At 48.1% G+C, this 13505-nt stretch overlaps 1 protein-coding gene across 6 annotated transcripts, besides 8 other annotated features; it reads left to right on the forward strand.

Moving 5' to 3' along the window:
* Window positions 1–50: a silencer, noted in NCBI's record as "silent region_1484". NCBI's record gives its function as "represses an Ori minimal core promoter by ATAC-STARR-seq in GM12878 lymphoblastoid cells {active_cell/tissue: GM12878}" and the evidence as "EXISTENCE:reporter gene assay evidence [ECO:0000049][PMID:35858748]".
* On the forward strand, window positions 2648–9247 carry FCRLB (Fc receptor like B). 6 transcript variants are annotated; one of them, NM_001002901.4, is made up of 8 exons: window positions 2648–2765; window positions 2859–2954; window positions 3757–3807; window positions 4093–4113; window positions 4471–4725; window positions 6925–7191; window positions 7807–8097; window positions 8351–9247. In NM_001002901.4, the coding sequence occupies exons 3-8, from the start codon at window positions 3777–3779 to the stop codon at window positions 8764–8766; spliced, it is 1281 nt and encodes a 426-aa protein (NP_001002901.1). In that variant the 5' UTR covers window positions 2648–2765; window positions 2859–2954; window positions 3757–3776; the 3' UTR covers window positions 8767–9247. The 6 variants fall into 6 exon arrangements, with proteins under 6 accessions (NP_001002901.1, NP_001307170.1, NP_001275760.1 ...); NM_001320241.1 differs by lacking the exons at window positions 2648–2765; window positions 2859–2954 and adding an exon at window positions 3361–3388; NM_001288831.1 differs by lacking the exons at window positions 2648–2765; window positions 2859–2954 and having other exon boundaries at window positions 7911–8097.
* Window positions 3430–3529: an enhancer, noted in NCBI's record as "active region_1996". NCBI's record gives its function as "activates an Ori minimal core promoter by ATAC-STARR-seq in GM12878 lymphoblastoid cells {active_cell/tissue: GM12878}" and the evidence as "EXISTENCE:reporter gene assay evidence [ECO:0000049][PMID:35858748]".
* Window positions 3610–3709: an enhancer, noted in NCBI's record as "active region_1997". NCBI's record gives its function as "activates an Ori minimal core promoter by ATAC-STARR-seq in GM12878 lymphoblastoid cells {active_cell/tissue: GM12878}" and the evidence as "EXISTENCE:reporter gene assay evidence [ECO:0000049][PMID:35858748]".
* Window positions 7345–7484: an enhancer, noted in NCBI's record as "active region_1998". NCBI's record gives its function as "activates an Ori minimal core promoter by ATAC-STARR-seq in GM12878 lymphoblastoid cells {active_cell/tissue: GM12878}" and the evidence as "EXISTENCE:reporter gene assay evidence [ECO:0000049][PMID:35858748]".
* Window positions 7695–7934: a silencer, noted in NCBI's record as "silent region_1485". NCBI's record gives its function as "represses an Ori minimal core promoter by ATAC-STARR-seq in GM12878 lymphoblastoid cells {active_cell/tissue: GM12878}" and the evidence as "EXISTENCE:reporter gene assay evidence [ECO:0000049][PMID:35858748]".
* Window positions 7945–7994: a silencer, noted in NCBI's record as "silent region_1486". NCBI's record gives its function as "represses an Ori minimal core promoter by ATAC-STARR-seq in GM12878 lymphoblastoid cells {active_cell/tissue: GM12878}" and the evidence as "EXISTENCE:reporter gene assay evidence [ECO:0000049][PMID:35858748]".
* Window positions 8025–8284: a silencer, noted in NCBI's record as "silent region_1487". NCBI's record gives its function as "represses an Ori minimal core promoter by ATAC-STARR-seq in GM12878 lymphoblastoid cells {active_cell/tissue: GM12878}" and the evidence as "EXISTENCE:reporter gene assay evidence [ECO:0000049][PMID:35858748]".
* Window positions 8545–8594: an enhancer, noted in NCBI's record as "active region_1999". NCBI's record gives its function as "activates an Ori minimal core promoter by ATAC-STARR-seq in GM12878 lymphoblastoid cells {active_cell/tissue: GM12878}" and the evidence as "EXISTENCE:reporter gene assay evidence [ECO:0000049][PMID:35858748]".
* Window positions 9248–13505: the final 4258 nt, after the last annotated feature.

The following is a 13505-nucleotide window of genomic DNA, read 5'->3' on the forward strand; positions in this document are numbered from 1 at the left end:
ATAAAGCAAAATATGGAGCCAGCAAATGACAGTGAGGAGATACTATTTTAGATAGCACGGTTAGCGACCATCTCTCTGAGGAAGTAATATTTGAGTGAAGTGAGGAAGTGAAACTTACAAAAATCTGGGAGGAGAATAAGAATCTTTCAGGCAGAAAGAACAGCAAGTGAGGCCCTGGAGCAAGACTAAGCATGGAATGTTCCAGCAACTGTTCTAAACACAATGTGGCTAGATCAGAGTGAGTGAGGGGGAGAGTTGTAGGAAATGAGGCCAAGGGTCAGAGAAAGGCCCGATTTGTAGGGCCCTGTAGACCATGGGAAGGTGTTTGGAACTTATTCTGAGGGTACCTATGGGGAATTTTGAGAGAAAGTAACACAATATGGTTAACATTTTAAAAGTATCTCTCTAGCGACTCAGTGAATAAATTACTGTACAAAAAGATCAATGTAGCAGGTAGAGTCATCAGGACTTGCTGATGAATTAGATTTGAGTTTTGGAATGAGTGTGCATGTAACTCATGAACATAATTCTGCAGTCTTGCTCTCAGGTGTGTATCCCATAAAGGCGCTTCAGGGCTCTGTAGGGAAGCATCATGTCCTTACCAGTACTAACTTACATGAAACTTCCTATGTGCCAACCCCTGTTCTAAGCCCTTTACATATGTTAATTCATCCAGCCCTCACAATATGTACCAAGAAGTCCATTGTGGAATTGTCTGTGGTAGCTGAGGGTGGGCAGCAACTAGGATGTTAGGGGAATGGACAAGTGCAGTGTAGCAGAAGCATAGAATATTAGGGCAGTCATGGCTGGGCGCAGTGGCTCATGCCTGTAATCCCAGCACTTTGGGAGGCTGAGGTGGGTGGATCACCTGAGGTCAGGAGTCCAAGACCAGCCTGGCCAACATGGTGAAACCCCATCTCTGCTAAAAACACAAAATTAGCCAGGCGTGGTGATGCACGCCTGTAATCCCAGCTACTCAGGAGGCTGAGGCAGGAGAACTGCTTGAACCCAGGAGGTGGAGGTTGCAGTGAGCTGATATCATGCCATTGCATGCCAGACTGGGTAATAAGAGCAAAACTGCGTCTCAAAAAAAAAGAATATTAGGGCAGTCAAAAGCAATAAACATGATGCATGTAGAGCAATCTGAACAAATTTGAAACATCTGGGATTAATTTTTAAAAGTAGAAGTGAATATAATATCTAGAACACAATGCCACTTATGTAAATTAACAACACTAAATATTTCTCAAAGCTAAAAACTGCATGTTATACCTAATGTAAATGACGAGTTAATGGGTGCAGCACACCAACATGGCACATGTATACATATGTAACAAACCTGCACGTTGTGCACATGTACCCTAGAACTTAAAGCACAAAAAAAAATAGCATGTATATGGGAACACACAGTAAACATTTTACAGTGGGTGCTTATGTGGAGGGGAGGAGGACAATAATGTGGGTGAAAGTCAACAAGGTAAGACAATAAGAGGGGGAACTTGCAAAGACCAATAATGACAGCCGGCCATGAGCAGCATCTTGAATCCCTGACAATCAGAGAGATAAGAGAACAGATTTTGGAGACAGACTTCTATTCAAATCCCAGTTTCATCATCTCAGTTTCCTCATATGCAAAATTGGGATATTAATAATTCTTCCTCAAAGGGCCTTACAAGAATTAAGTGCAGTAATATCTGTGAAGCACTTAGCATAGTGCCTGCCACATGCCGAGACACTAAAGTGAGCTGTCATCAGCAACAACAGCATTAGTTCATTACTGTAATTATCACTGAGAACACTTTATCACCAGAATGCTTATCAAATGGTGACATATATTGTCCAGATGTTATGTTGTGATAGGCCTCAAATAATTGCTCAAGTTACAAATGATAATTTCTAAATTTTTCTGCATTGTAAAGGAGTGAAGAATTAGAAATTCTGGGGAAAAGTCCTAGATGGAGTAAAAAGACTCACTTTGGGAAAAACTTAGAGGAGAGCCTAGAATAAATAAATATTTCGTGGGAAATTTTTCAAGTCAAATTCTGAGCACTGTATAATATGAACAGTATGGATGGTTCCAGAGGTTTCTAGGGACGACTATACAGTTCACAAAGTTTTGGTGTACTAAGGTTTCTTCTGAATCGAGTAAAGGGGCTGAGATCTGTGCTCTGGGGGATGAGAAGCCAAAATAGAGCCAGCTTGTGTTGCCTAAGAGGACAGCTGACAACTGCATTGCATTCTTACCATTGAGGTGGTGGCTTGGTGCAGAAGTCAGACCTCTGTGGCAGGCTGTGGATCATGTGGGAAGCCACACACTGGCCCTGAGACGAGGAATTATTAGGATGGAGGGGAAGCACAAGAGTGCTGGTCAGCCCAGGCACTCCTAAAGCAGGCAGGTGATCATCCCTGTTCCCAGTAATTAGTTCTTCTCTGCCTCCCCTACTCTTGGGCACATTGTCAAATATGTCCCTACTTTGTTTGAAATCTACAGGACTCTATCTCTTTTATCAAAACCTGCACTCAAAACATGATCTGAAGTGACCAGCATAATTTAAATGACCAGTCACATTTTCCTAAGAGGCATTTGCATTTTTAAAAGGGGCTAGTCCATTAAGCAAAATATGAGGGGACTCTCAGAGTGGAACTTCAGGCATCAGCAAGAGGGGAAGATACTATCTTCCTGGGAGTTGACAGTACCTGATAATTGATCTCCTTCCCATCAGATTTCCAAGGGATCAAGGTGCCCCGGTTCTAAACAACCACAGGTAAGGACAGGATAGAGTCCAAGGAGACACACTATCAGGCTGGAAAATTCATTAAGTATTTACATGAAAATTCAGGTTCTCCTCATTGCTCAGGTACGGTCACATGGCTCAGAAAGCACAAGAAGTAGAGCCCCGAGGTCAGATCTGAGAGGCTTCTGAGGGGCCGATGCAGTGACTTCTCTGCTGCAGGTCAGGAGTTCTGGAACTGGGGCGTGGCTGGGGAGGGGTTGCAGGGAAGGGTGGGAGGAAGGAAGAAAAGAACAAGTGATTGGAAGTGCCACAGGATGAGCTCATTGGGATGGGTAGGAAAGAAGAGTTTTCTAACTTCTTAAGAATTTAAGAATTTATGAGAACTCAAGATTTCAGGAAGGGAGGAAGAAGAAACACATTGCATTTCTATCCTTGACTGGGGAACTAGATGATAGGGATGTGAAGGGTGGTTGGTGAGTCATGCCTTTTCGTCTACTCATTGTGGCAGGATGTGAGCTCTGGGGGCAGGCAACCGAACACTGACCTCTCTAGGTCTCATGCCAATGTCTGTCATCAGGAGTGAGCAGGAAAAAGGTCCTTAAGGACATGAGGCCGTGTCTTCCTCAGCTGAGCCTTGCAGGGCTGGCTGGAAGGTGGAGAAGGGATGGGATGGGAGTGGGATGTCAATGGGAGCCTGAAGATGGCGGGGTCATCTGCTGGAGCCTGGGGTTCTATGGGGCTCTCTTGTGCTGTGGAGGGCACAAGTTCTGCAGGCCTTCCTTTCAGTAGTCAGGGCTGGCCTGAGCTGTGAGGTGGCTGTAGATGCGGTAGATGAGACAGTGCCTGGCACTTGGGATACCTGATATTCAGCCTGTCTCCCACTGGTTCTGGTCTGCTATCTTCAGGAACTAGGAGTGGGTGGGAGAAGCAGCAATGTCTCCTAGTACTCAGTGGCATCCACTGGCCACATTCTTTCTCTCTGTTCCCCATCTCATGCCAGTGCATCTCCATCCTTCTGCAGCTGCTGCAGTCAGATCCATCATGTGGCCACTGACAGCCCTTCTGCTCCTGGGTGAGTCCACAGTGAGGCAGCAGAAGAGCTTTGGGTGGTGGAGAATAGGGTGGACCAAGGTATGGGGAGAGGAGGGTGGGTATCCAATCCTCAGTTTCCAAGTGGTTCATTATCTTTTTTTGGAGGGGTGAAGAAGAAGGGGCTTTCTCAGAGCTTGGGAAACCAGGGGCAGAAGAAGAAAAACAGGTTTTGGGACCATTCAGCCTTTCTTGTCGTCAAGAGTCTCTCTCCTCTCATCGCCAATATTCTCCTTCTCCTTCCTCTTCCTTCTTTCCTGTTCTGCAGTTCCAAGCAGTGGGCAAGCTGGTGAGTCTTATAAATTTCTCATCCCAATTTTCTACAGCTTCCACTCCAACCCCCTAAGTGACCTTTTCAAGTAGACTCCTCACTTCTTGGCTGCGCTGGGATAGTGTCTCTTCCCACTCTCGTCAACCCCTGGGACTAAATTTGCTTGAAGGCATTTAGAAATGGGTGCTGGCTGATGGACTGGTAGTCTGTAACCCAATGAATGTGATCTCCTCTCCTGCAGGGATGGGTTAGTACATGGGCTGGGGCCTGCGAGCTGGGGTTTCCTAAGATTTCCCAAACTCAGGTCGTTTCTTTGGGCACCTCACCTTGATTCTCTTTGCATGCTGCCCCCTCTCACCCCACTCCCCACCCCAGCTACTCTGGAGAAGCCCATATTGTCTCTACATCCACCTTGGACCACCATCTTCAAAGGGGAGCGGGTAACTTTGAAGTGTGATGGATACCACCCACTGCTCCTGGAGCTCCAGCCCATCAGCACTCTCTGGTATTTGGGCCACCTACTTCTGCCCTCTCACAAGAAGAGCATTGAGGTGCAGACACCAGGGGTGTATCGATGCCAGACACGGGGAGCACCCGTCAGTGACCCCATCCACCTCTCTGTATCCAATGGTGAGTGGACTGAGCACGAGGGGAGGGGGAGCACGTGTCTCCTCTGGCAATACTAGTCCTCTGGTGGGAGGGAACACTGGGCCAATCCCAAGGTGCAGGAAACAAGGGCCACACTGGGGCCTATCTTAAGTCTCTGGAGCAGGTAGGGACCTGCACGGCACTATGCGAGAGATGCAGTAAGGCATGCCTAGCCCCCAAGGTCCCCTTACCCTCCTGCCATAGTGTGAGGCACAGTGTGAACATTTCTGTTTGTTTCTGAGACCAGCTCAGAAGAGCAAAGGCTCCAAGGACCTGGAGTGCTGGACAGAGAACTTTAGGGGGTTGGGGAGGGAGCAGTAAAGGAAATTCACCAAACAGGAAAGGTGAGTTTCCCTGGCAGTCTGAGCATAGATCAAGGATCTACTCTCAGTTGAACAGTGTGATGCTTCTCTGTGCCTCAGTGTCCACATCTGTAAAGAAGGGACAATAATAGTATGTATCTCTTCGGCTGCTCTGAGGATTAAAAGTGAATTATGATTTGCTAAAGAAAAAAAGCAGCAATTGAACTGAGCACTTACTCAAAGTTTTATTGCAGACGTGTATATGTGTACACAGGAGTCAGCTGAGAAACTGATTCTCGAGATGCTTGAAGGGTTTTAAAACAGGATAAGAAAAATAACAATAATTTGTTCAATAAAGTACAGGATTGCTGGGCACGGTGGCTCAAGCCTGTGATCCCAGCACTTTGGGAGGCCAAGGCGGGCAGATCACCTGAGGTCAGGAGTTCAAGACCAGCCTGGCCAACATGGTGAAACACTCTCTACTAAAAAAAAAAAAAAAAAAAAAAATAGCTGGGCATGATAGCGGGTGCCTGTAGTCCCAGCTACTCAGGAGGCTGAGGCATGAGAATTGTTTGAACCTGGGAGGCGGAAGTTGCAGTGAGCTGAGATCGTGCACTCCTAGCCACAATTTGTATTCAGAATTTAAAGCACATCACTCAATGTTCAGATTAGCACTTACACACACTTCATATTCATACTCTGTGGTTTCTTGTTCGGAAATCATTGGTGATAGCAATAATTATACTGAGTACTATAGGAGTAATTACTGCTTACAGATTGGGAGTGCATGTGGATTGTGGCTATTACTTGCAGGATTCTTTCTCAATGTACAACACCTAAAATGGCATCTGCTCTGTGCTAGGGCTATGTAAGCGTGCTATAATGATCACAGGGTAATTATGAGGTGCTGTAGGAGATACCTAAGGCTCTCCTGGGGTGTCAGGGATGTTTTCTGGAGGAGATAAGGTCTAAGCCTAGACATGCAGGACAAGCAGGTGAACTTAAACAGGTGAAAGAGAGTCTTCTTGGCTGAGGAAATAGCAGGTACAAAAGCCTCGGGCTCAGAGCAGGGCCAGTTCTCTCAACAGTTCAGTATGGCTGGAACTTATCCTGTTAGGAGTGGAAGATGAGGAAAGTAGAGAGGAAATGGGGCAGGAATGAATACTGCCATGGTGAGGGAGAGGTAAGCAGGACCCAGTCAGGAGGACTCTGACACCATCCTAAGGAGGTTATAGTTGATTCTCATGGTCAAAACCCTTTGAGGGTGGAGCCAAGTCTCTGGCATCTTTGCTCCCTGGCTAAGTGAAAGACCAGCCATCCCCCTTCCTTCCCACTCACCTACAAATATATCTTGCACTATGAGGCTGCTGGGTGCCAACCACCAGGGAAGGCCTGTCCGCTCAAGAAAGCAGTGGGAGGCCAGGCCCGGTGGCTCACGCCTGTAATCCCACCACTTTGGGAGGCCGAGGTGGGCGTATCACCTGAGGTCAGGAGTTCAAGACCAGCCTGGCCAAGATGGTGAAACCCTGTCTCTACTAAAAAATGCAAAAATTAGCTGGGTGTGATGGCGCCCACCGGTAATCCCAGCTACTCGGGAGGCTGAGGCAGAAGAATCGCTTGAACCCAAGAGGTGGAGGTTGCAGTGAACCGAGTTTGTGCCACTGCACTGCAGCTTGGGCGACAAGAGCAAGACCATGTCTCAAAAAAAGAAAAAGAACAAGAAAAAAAGAAAGAAAAAGAAAAGAAAAGAAAGCGGTGGGAGATGGCGGGGAAGGGAGGGAGAGGAGTTAAGAGGAGAAAGCTGGAAGGCTGTGAGAGTGGGAGATCTCCAGGGCTGGACTTTCTGTGGAGTCAAGCGTGTCTGTGGTGTCTGTCGCAGATTGGCTGATTCTGCAAGTGCCCTATGCGCCAGTGTTCGAGGGTGAGCCGCTAGTCCTGCGCTGCCGCGGCTGGTACGACAAGGTGGTCTACAAGCTTCACTACTACCACGACGGCCAGGCCGTGCGCTACTTCCACTCCAGCGCCAACTACACTGTGTTACAGGCGCGTGCCAGCGACAGCGGGCGCTACCAGTGCTCGGGCACCATGCGCATCCCGGTGGAGAGCGCGCCCATGTTCTCCGCTAAGGTGGCTGTGACAGTGCAAGGTGGGAGAGACCAGGGGCCCCGGGAGGGAGGCAAATGAGCATTGAGAAATTCTGGGACAGGAGCTCGGCGAGAAAAGAAGGGGCGGAAGTTCAAATAGCTGCCACTTGGAGGGTTTCTCTTAGACTATGGACGCTGTCTCCTCTCCTTTGCCGTGAAGCAGCGCTTGATCCGCCGCCTGCTTGGAGGCTGGTCCCTTTCCCCGACGCACATCCTGGCTTCTCACTCTGGCTGGGGACTCCCACAGAGAGGGCAGCTCTGGCAGGGGCAGGGGCCACTGTGGGACTGGGACGAAGGAGCGACTCCCTAGCGTCCTGCAAGGCAGGCGCAGCGTCTCCTATTCTAGGCTGCAGAACCCGAGCTGAGTGTCAGTCGGGATGTGACATGAAGCGTCTGGCCTGGTCCCTCTTCCTTTCAAGCTTTCCCCGTCCCTCGTGGACTCGGTCCCCCTGCCCCACATTTCAGAAGGCTCCCCTTCCCCCTCCACGTGGACACACGGCCTCCTCCCCTCCCCCCTTGGTCTGTGGGTCTGCAAGGAGCCCTCGCGGGAAGCAGGAAGGAGCGGGGTCGCGGAGCGGTGGACAAGCCGGCGCCGTTGCTCCCCGCCCTCTCCGTAGAGCTGTTCCGGGCGCCGGTGCTGAGGGTGATGGGTCCGCGGGAGGCCCGCGGCGCGGCGCTGGGTGGGGTGGTGCTGCGCTGCGACACGCGCCTGCACCCGCAGAAGCGCGACACGCCGCTGCAGTTCGCGTTTTACAAGTACAGCCGCGCGGTGCGCCGCTTCGACTGGGGCGCCGAGTACACAGTCCCGGAGCCCGAGGTCGAGGAGCTCGAATCGTACTGGTGCGAGGCGGCTACCGCCACCCGCAGTGTCCGGAAACGCAGTCCGTGGCTGCAGCTCCCGGGGCCGGGTGAGTGCCTGCACACCCTCCCGGACGCCGACCCTGGCGGTCAGCCCTGCTTCCGCCTCTCGGCACCCACGAATCACCCCCGCCCCCTGGTTCCCGTCCCGCCCCCCGCCTTTCCCATCTCCCCTTCGCCGCCCTCCTCCTCACCCCTCTTCCGGCCTTCCCCATCCCCGCCCACCGCCCTACGCCCCTCCCCCAGCCCAGCGCCGAGAAGAACCATGCAAGCCGCGCGTGACTGGGCGTAATGCATTCACAGGTTCTCCCCTGGACCCGGCCTCCACCACCGCCCCAGCTCCATGGGCCGCAGCCTTGGCTCCTGGTAATAGGCCGCTTTCCTTCAGAAAGCCCCCGGTGTCCAGATCGGTCCCGTTGGTCACCTCCGTCCGGAACACCACCTCCACCGGGCTGCAGTTCCCGGCGAGCGGCGCCCCGACTGCGGGGCCACCCGCCTGCGCTCCGCCGACGCCCTTGGAACAATCGGCTGGAGCCCTGAAACCCGACGTGGACCTTCTGCTCCGAGAAATGCAGCTGCTCAAAGGCCTTCTGAGCCGGGTGGTCCTGGAATTAAAGGAGCCACAGGCCCTCCGGGAGCTCAGGGGAACGCCCGAGACCCCCACCTCTCACTTTGCTGTGAGCCCGGGAACCCCAGAGACCACTCCTGTGGAGAGCTGAGGGGGCGGCTACCGTCCCCTCTGCAGGCTCATTCCTCCTTGGTCTCCTGCTTCCCCTCACGCGAATTTCTTTCAAAGCCATCTGTTTGCATCCTTGTGTTTTGCTGTGGTTTTTAAAGGAGCGCCCACGAAGTGTAGTGGCTGACGATTTCAACCTCACACAGCAGTTTGTAACCGCAAGCATTCTCTTTGAATTCTCACAGAATTCAGCAAGAAGTAGAAACCTGTTATTTACTACATTGTGATTTAACTTTGGATGTGAATTTAGTCACCCTTAGCCCTTCAGATAAGCCTAGCCAGTACATATTTCAGCACAGGCAGTTTTTTTGGTATTTAAGTACATTGAGGTAACTGAGCACTTGAGAATATTTTAGGGTCAAAGTGTAATTATTCATAATGAATTTACTCTGTTGATATTAAAAAGACGTTCAGTCCTATTACTGATGAGTTTACATCTTCAAATAAATCCTGGGTTCTATTTAGTTTTGGCGAGAGAAAGTTGTTTGTGTGGGCCTCCCATTCCCTGGTTAAAAGGGTCAGAGTCTTTGGGAGGCTGAGGCGGGGGGGGGGGGGGAATCACCTGAGGTCAGGAGTCCGAGACCAGCCTGGCCAACATCGCGAAACCCCGTCTCTACTGAAAATACAAAAATTAGCTGGGCATGGTGGCAGGCGCCTGTAATCCCAGCTACTTGGGAGGCTGAGGCAGGAGAATTGCTTGAACCTGGAAGGCGGAGGTTGCAGTAAGCCGAGATCGTGCCATTGCACTCCAGCCTGGGCAACAAGAGTGAAACTCCATCTCAAAAAAAAAAAAAAAAAAGGGTCAGAGTTCTGTTAGACTTAACCCAGGTGCACCCCCTGCCCCAGTGCAGCTAGACAGACTGATGGGCTGTGGTAGCAGCAGGCAGACTATGCTAACCTTAGCCGTATATTAAATAAGTGTACCATTTGCATTGAGAAATCTTTTTGAAGAAACTTTAAGACAAATCCTCAAAATTGAGTTCTCATTCTTAGCAGCTTTTTTCTTAAGAGCCTTTCCAACATGAATACACCAAGATACACACATGCACAGATCAGTATGCCATCCTGCATGGTGACTTTACTCTCACTTAGTTAAAAGAAGAAAAGTGAGAAGCCATTTCAATTGCAATTTCATGGTTATGTTCCTGGAAAGTCCCATTTTGATGGGTTTTCCCATCTGCCTACTGGAGCCATCAATCCTCTGCAGAGCTAGTGTGATTTGTCCTCAGGAGGCCTCGTTCTCATCAGGTCCATATCCTTCTTCAGTTAAGTTTCACTGTTAAGGCTTAGAGCTGTAACAACTGTACCCTCTCATCCTTTACTTCTGCTTGATAGATGTTGCGTCACAACCCGATTTTCCATTTCTTTCTGAGTGATTAACCAGAATAATATCAACAGCCTTCATCCTATTCTTCTTAATATTGTTCTTCACCATATTATTATTACAAAGCCACTGAAATTATACAGAGAGGCAGGCAGGCAGGCAGGTGCACACATAAATTACACTGCAATGTGATAAGTGCTCTATGAAACATGATAGGAATTCAGAGAAGAAAGTTGAATTTTTAAGGAAGAGCAAGAACTACCACATGGAGATGTGAGAAAGATTGAGGGTATGGCAAGTAGGCTGAGGAAGCAAAGACACAAAGAAATGAAAGACTGTAGCGTGTTTATGGAGCTACAAATAATTGGGAGTGGTTGGAGAATTATGTGTGTTTATGTGTATCTGTGTAGGTGTATTTTAGGGAGGAGGTGACAGAGATGAATATGGGGAAGTAGGAAGGAATCAGAACATGAAAGTCTTGTTAAGAAGTGCTTTAGCCTGTTGGATACTTGGGATGGCTATCTGAAAGCATTCCTGACATGAAGGCATCAATATGTCTAATCTGAGGAAATGCTAACTTAAAATTAGACAAGAAGAATCAAACTTATCTCAGTGGATCTTTGCTTAACTCTGAGAGATATGTCCAGGTGCCTATAATTCAGTTCTGGGGTCTTGGTCTACAAGGGCCTTTGTGGCTCTGATTTCCAGCTTTCTGATGCAGGCTCATCTCACTTCTCAGAACTCTCTTCCAAGGCCACCTTTCCTAGCTAACTGCACTCTATTTCAGTGCCCAGGCTCTTTTCCCCTTCTGATTTTGTTTCCCTGAGATTTCTGCTTTTTTTTTTTTTTTTTTTTTTTGAGACGGAGTCTCACATCTCACTCTGTCACCCAGGCTGGAGCAATCTCAGCTCATTGCAACCTCCGCCTCCCAGGTTCAAGTGATTCTTCCACCTCAGCCTCCCCAGTAGCTGGGATTACAGGCACCTGCCATCATGCCAGGCTAATTTTTGTATTTTTGTAGAGACGGGGTTTCACCGTGTTGGCCAGGCTGGTCTTGAACTCCTGACCTCAGGTGATCCACCTGCCTCAGCCTCCCAAAGTGCAGGGATTACAGGCTTGGGCCACCGCGCCCGGCCGGTTTCTGCCATCTTGATATAGACAGGAAGTGACTAACATTAGTGGCAAGAGGCTTAGTAATCAAAGAATCTCAGGTCATTTAAAAAATCAGTTGATCATTTTTTAAGAGTACAAAAAAGAGAAATAGTTACTCAAAGGAGAGCTAGGGCAGCAGTATCTCTTTCATTCACACCTTTTTGGCAACATCAACATCCTTGTTCTTGTTTTGCCATCTACTTCCATTTAGAACTAGGATGCGGGGGGATGGGGAAGAACAAGGACTTTTTGGTGAGAGTGAAAATCATTCATGACTCAACTTTCTGGTGTAGGGGAGAGGAATTGACTCATATGGCCTGTAGACTCCACTGTCTTCTTCGTGTACCCCAGCTTTTAAGAGGAGGGCAGGATCAAGATGATCTTCTAAGATATCTGTTATTGATCTCCCAGGAAGACCTGCATTAAGGAAATATCAGCTTCATCTTCATCCCTTTTGTTTGAGGTTCCTACATGCATTTAGGGAAACCAGAAGGCTAGCTAGCCCAGGTTGTCCAAGGGGACTCTCAGAGCTCATTCCCAAACAGCAGGGATGGCAGAAAAATGCTGGAGAAACCTAGGGAGGAATCTGCTTCTCTCTGATACTCTGATCAGTTTGGTGTCTCAGACTTAGGCTGCAAACCCTAATCCTGCGGCTGTCCATAGCAGATGCCAGACAAGGAACCCCAATGTCCGCTATCAGAGAGCAGAAAAAATTCTGTCGCATTCCCTTTGGATTTCAGCCTTACTCTTTAAACTGTTCTCCTTGAGTCTCAGTTTTTACTTGACCTTACACTATGAAAGGGGGATCTCTTTGGGTTTGTAAACCAAAATTAAAATTCTAAGCCCCCCCAATAGACTGAATGGACCCCCCTCACAACCAAGAAGATTTCAAAGAAACCTGAAAAACCAGTTTAGTCCACGAAGGGAAGTGGGGGATTGGACATGCCTAATTATACCCTCCCCCTTTTGGAGTTTAGCACAACTGACCAGCATAACATTAAAATAGAGATCCTAAGACTGACAGAACTGACTATGTAGCAATAAGATACCAACTCCAACCTGACTCTGAAAATCAAAGTATTTTACCCCAAACTATATTTCTTTGACATATTTTGAAATGGCCCTGCAACGTTGTCTCTTGTGGGGGAAATTTACATTCCGTAGAGAATCCTCTTCCCTCTCCAGGTCTTTTCCTGATCCAGAAGAGATGTAACTAAGAGTCTGACATCTTTTAAGGTCAGATAAGAGATATTCACTATCTATTCTCTCTGAAGTCTGGAGGTTTCACCTACATGAGAATAACCTTGGCTTCCAGAACCGCTCCCTTCCCTTAACTCAAGCTGACTTCAATTCTTCAGGCATAGCTTATCTCTTTCAACGAATTGCCAGTCAGAAAATCTTTGAATCCACCTATTACCTAGAAGTCGCCCCCTCAACCCGACTTTGAGATGTCCTGCCTTTCCAGGCCAAGCCAATGTATACCTTACATGTATTGATTTATGTCTTTGTTTGTAACTTCTGTCTCCCTAAAATGTATAACACCAAGCGTAGCCCAACCAAATTAGGCACATGTTCTGAGGAATCCCTGAGGCTGTATCACGGGCTATGGTACTTAACCTTGGCAAAATAAACCTATGAACTGATTGAGACCCGTCTCAGATGCTTTTTGGTTTATAGGTTTCACACTCATGGCTTTTTTCCTAAGAGATTGAATTAAATTCTCTAGGTTAAAGTCCAAACTTCCCATCACAGTATATTGAGCCCATTCATCATATATTATGGCCACAATGACCACCTGCTCTTTCCCCAACACACCACCACCTTTCATGACTTTATTTTTGTATATATTTTTGCTTCAACTGTTGTAGAAGGGCTGCACAGGCCTTCTGAGCCCAAGATTCCTCATTTGCAAAGTGAGGGAAATAATAGTAACCTCACAGGGAGAGACAAACAAACAGATCCTTTCATCATTAGAGGTTTTAAAACAGTTGATGATAAGAAGCACAGAGGAGAGATACTAAGCCCAGTGTGGGGGTCCAGGAATCAACTTCCTGCCAGTCCCCACCGATAAGCTATTTGTTTCTAAACTTGTGCTGTTTTAAATTATGTTGCAATGAATATCTTTACATCTGTATCTTTACGCACATATCTGAATATGTCTGTAGGATAAACTCCTAGAAGTAGAATTGTTGCATCGAAGGATATGTGTCTTTTTAGAATTTTAATAGATGTTGCAAATTATTTCT

Source organism: Homo sapiens, chromosome 1 (assembly GCF_000001405.40).
Source record: "Homo sapiens chromosome 1, GRCh38.p14 Primary Assembly".
Classification (NCBI taxonomy): domain Eukaryota; kingdom Metazoa; phylum Chordata; class Mammalia; order Primates; family Hominidae; genus Homo; species Homo sapiens.

Excerpts from the sequence above, each read along its gene's own strand:
- FCRLB (NM_001002901.4), top strand. The coding sequence starts at position 3,777 with ATGTGGCCACTGACAGCCCTTCTGCTCCTGG. Across the intron at positions 4,726-6,924 it reads CCACCTCTCTGTATCCAATG|ATTGGCTGATTCTGCAAGTG; the intron begins GTGAGTGGACTG and ends TGTCTGTCGCAG. Across the intron at positions 8,098-8,350 it reads GCTGCAGCTCCCGGGGCCGG|GTTCTCCCCTGGACCCGGCC; the intron begins GTGAGTGCCTGC and ends ATGCATTCACAG.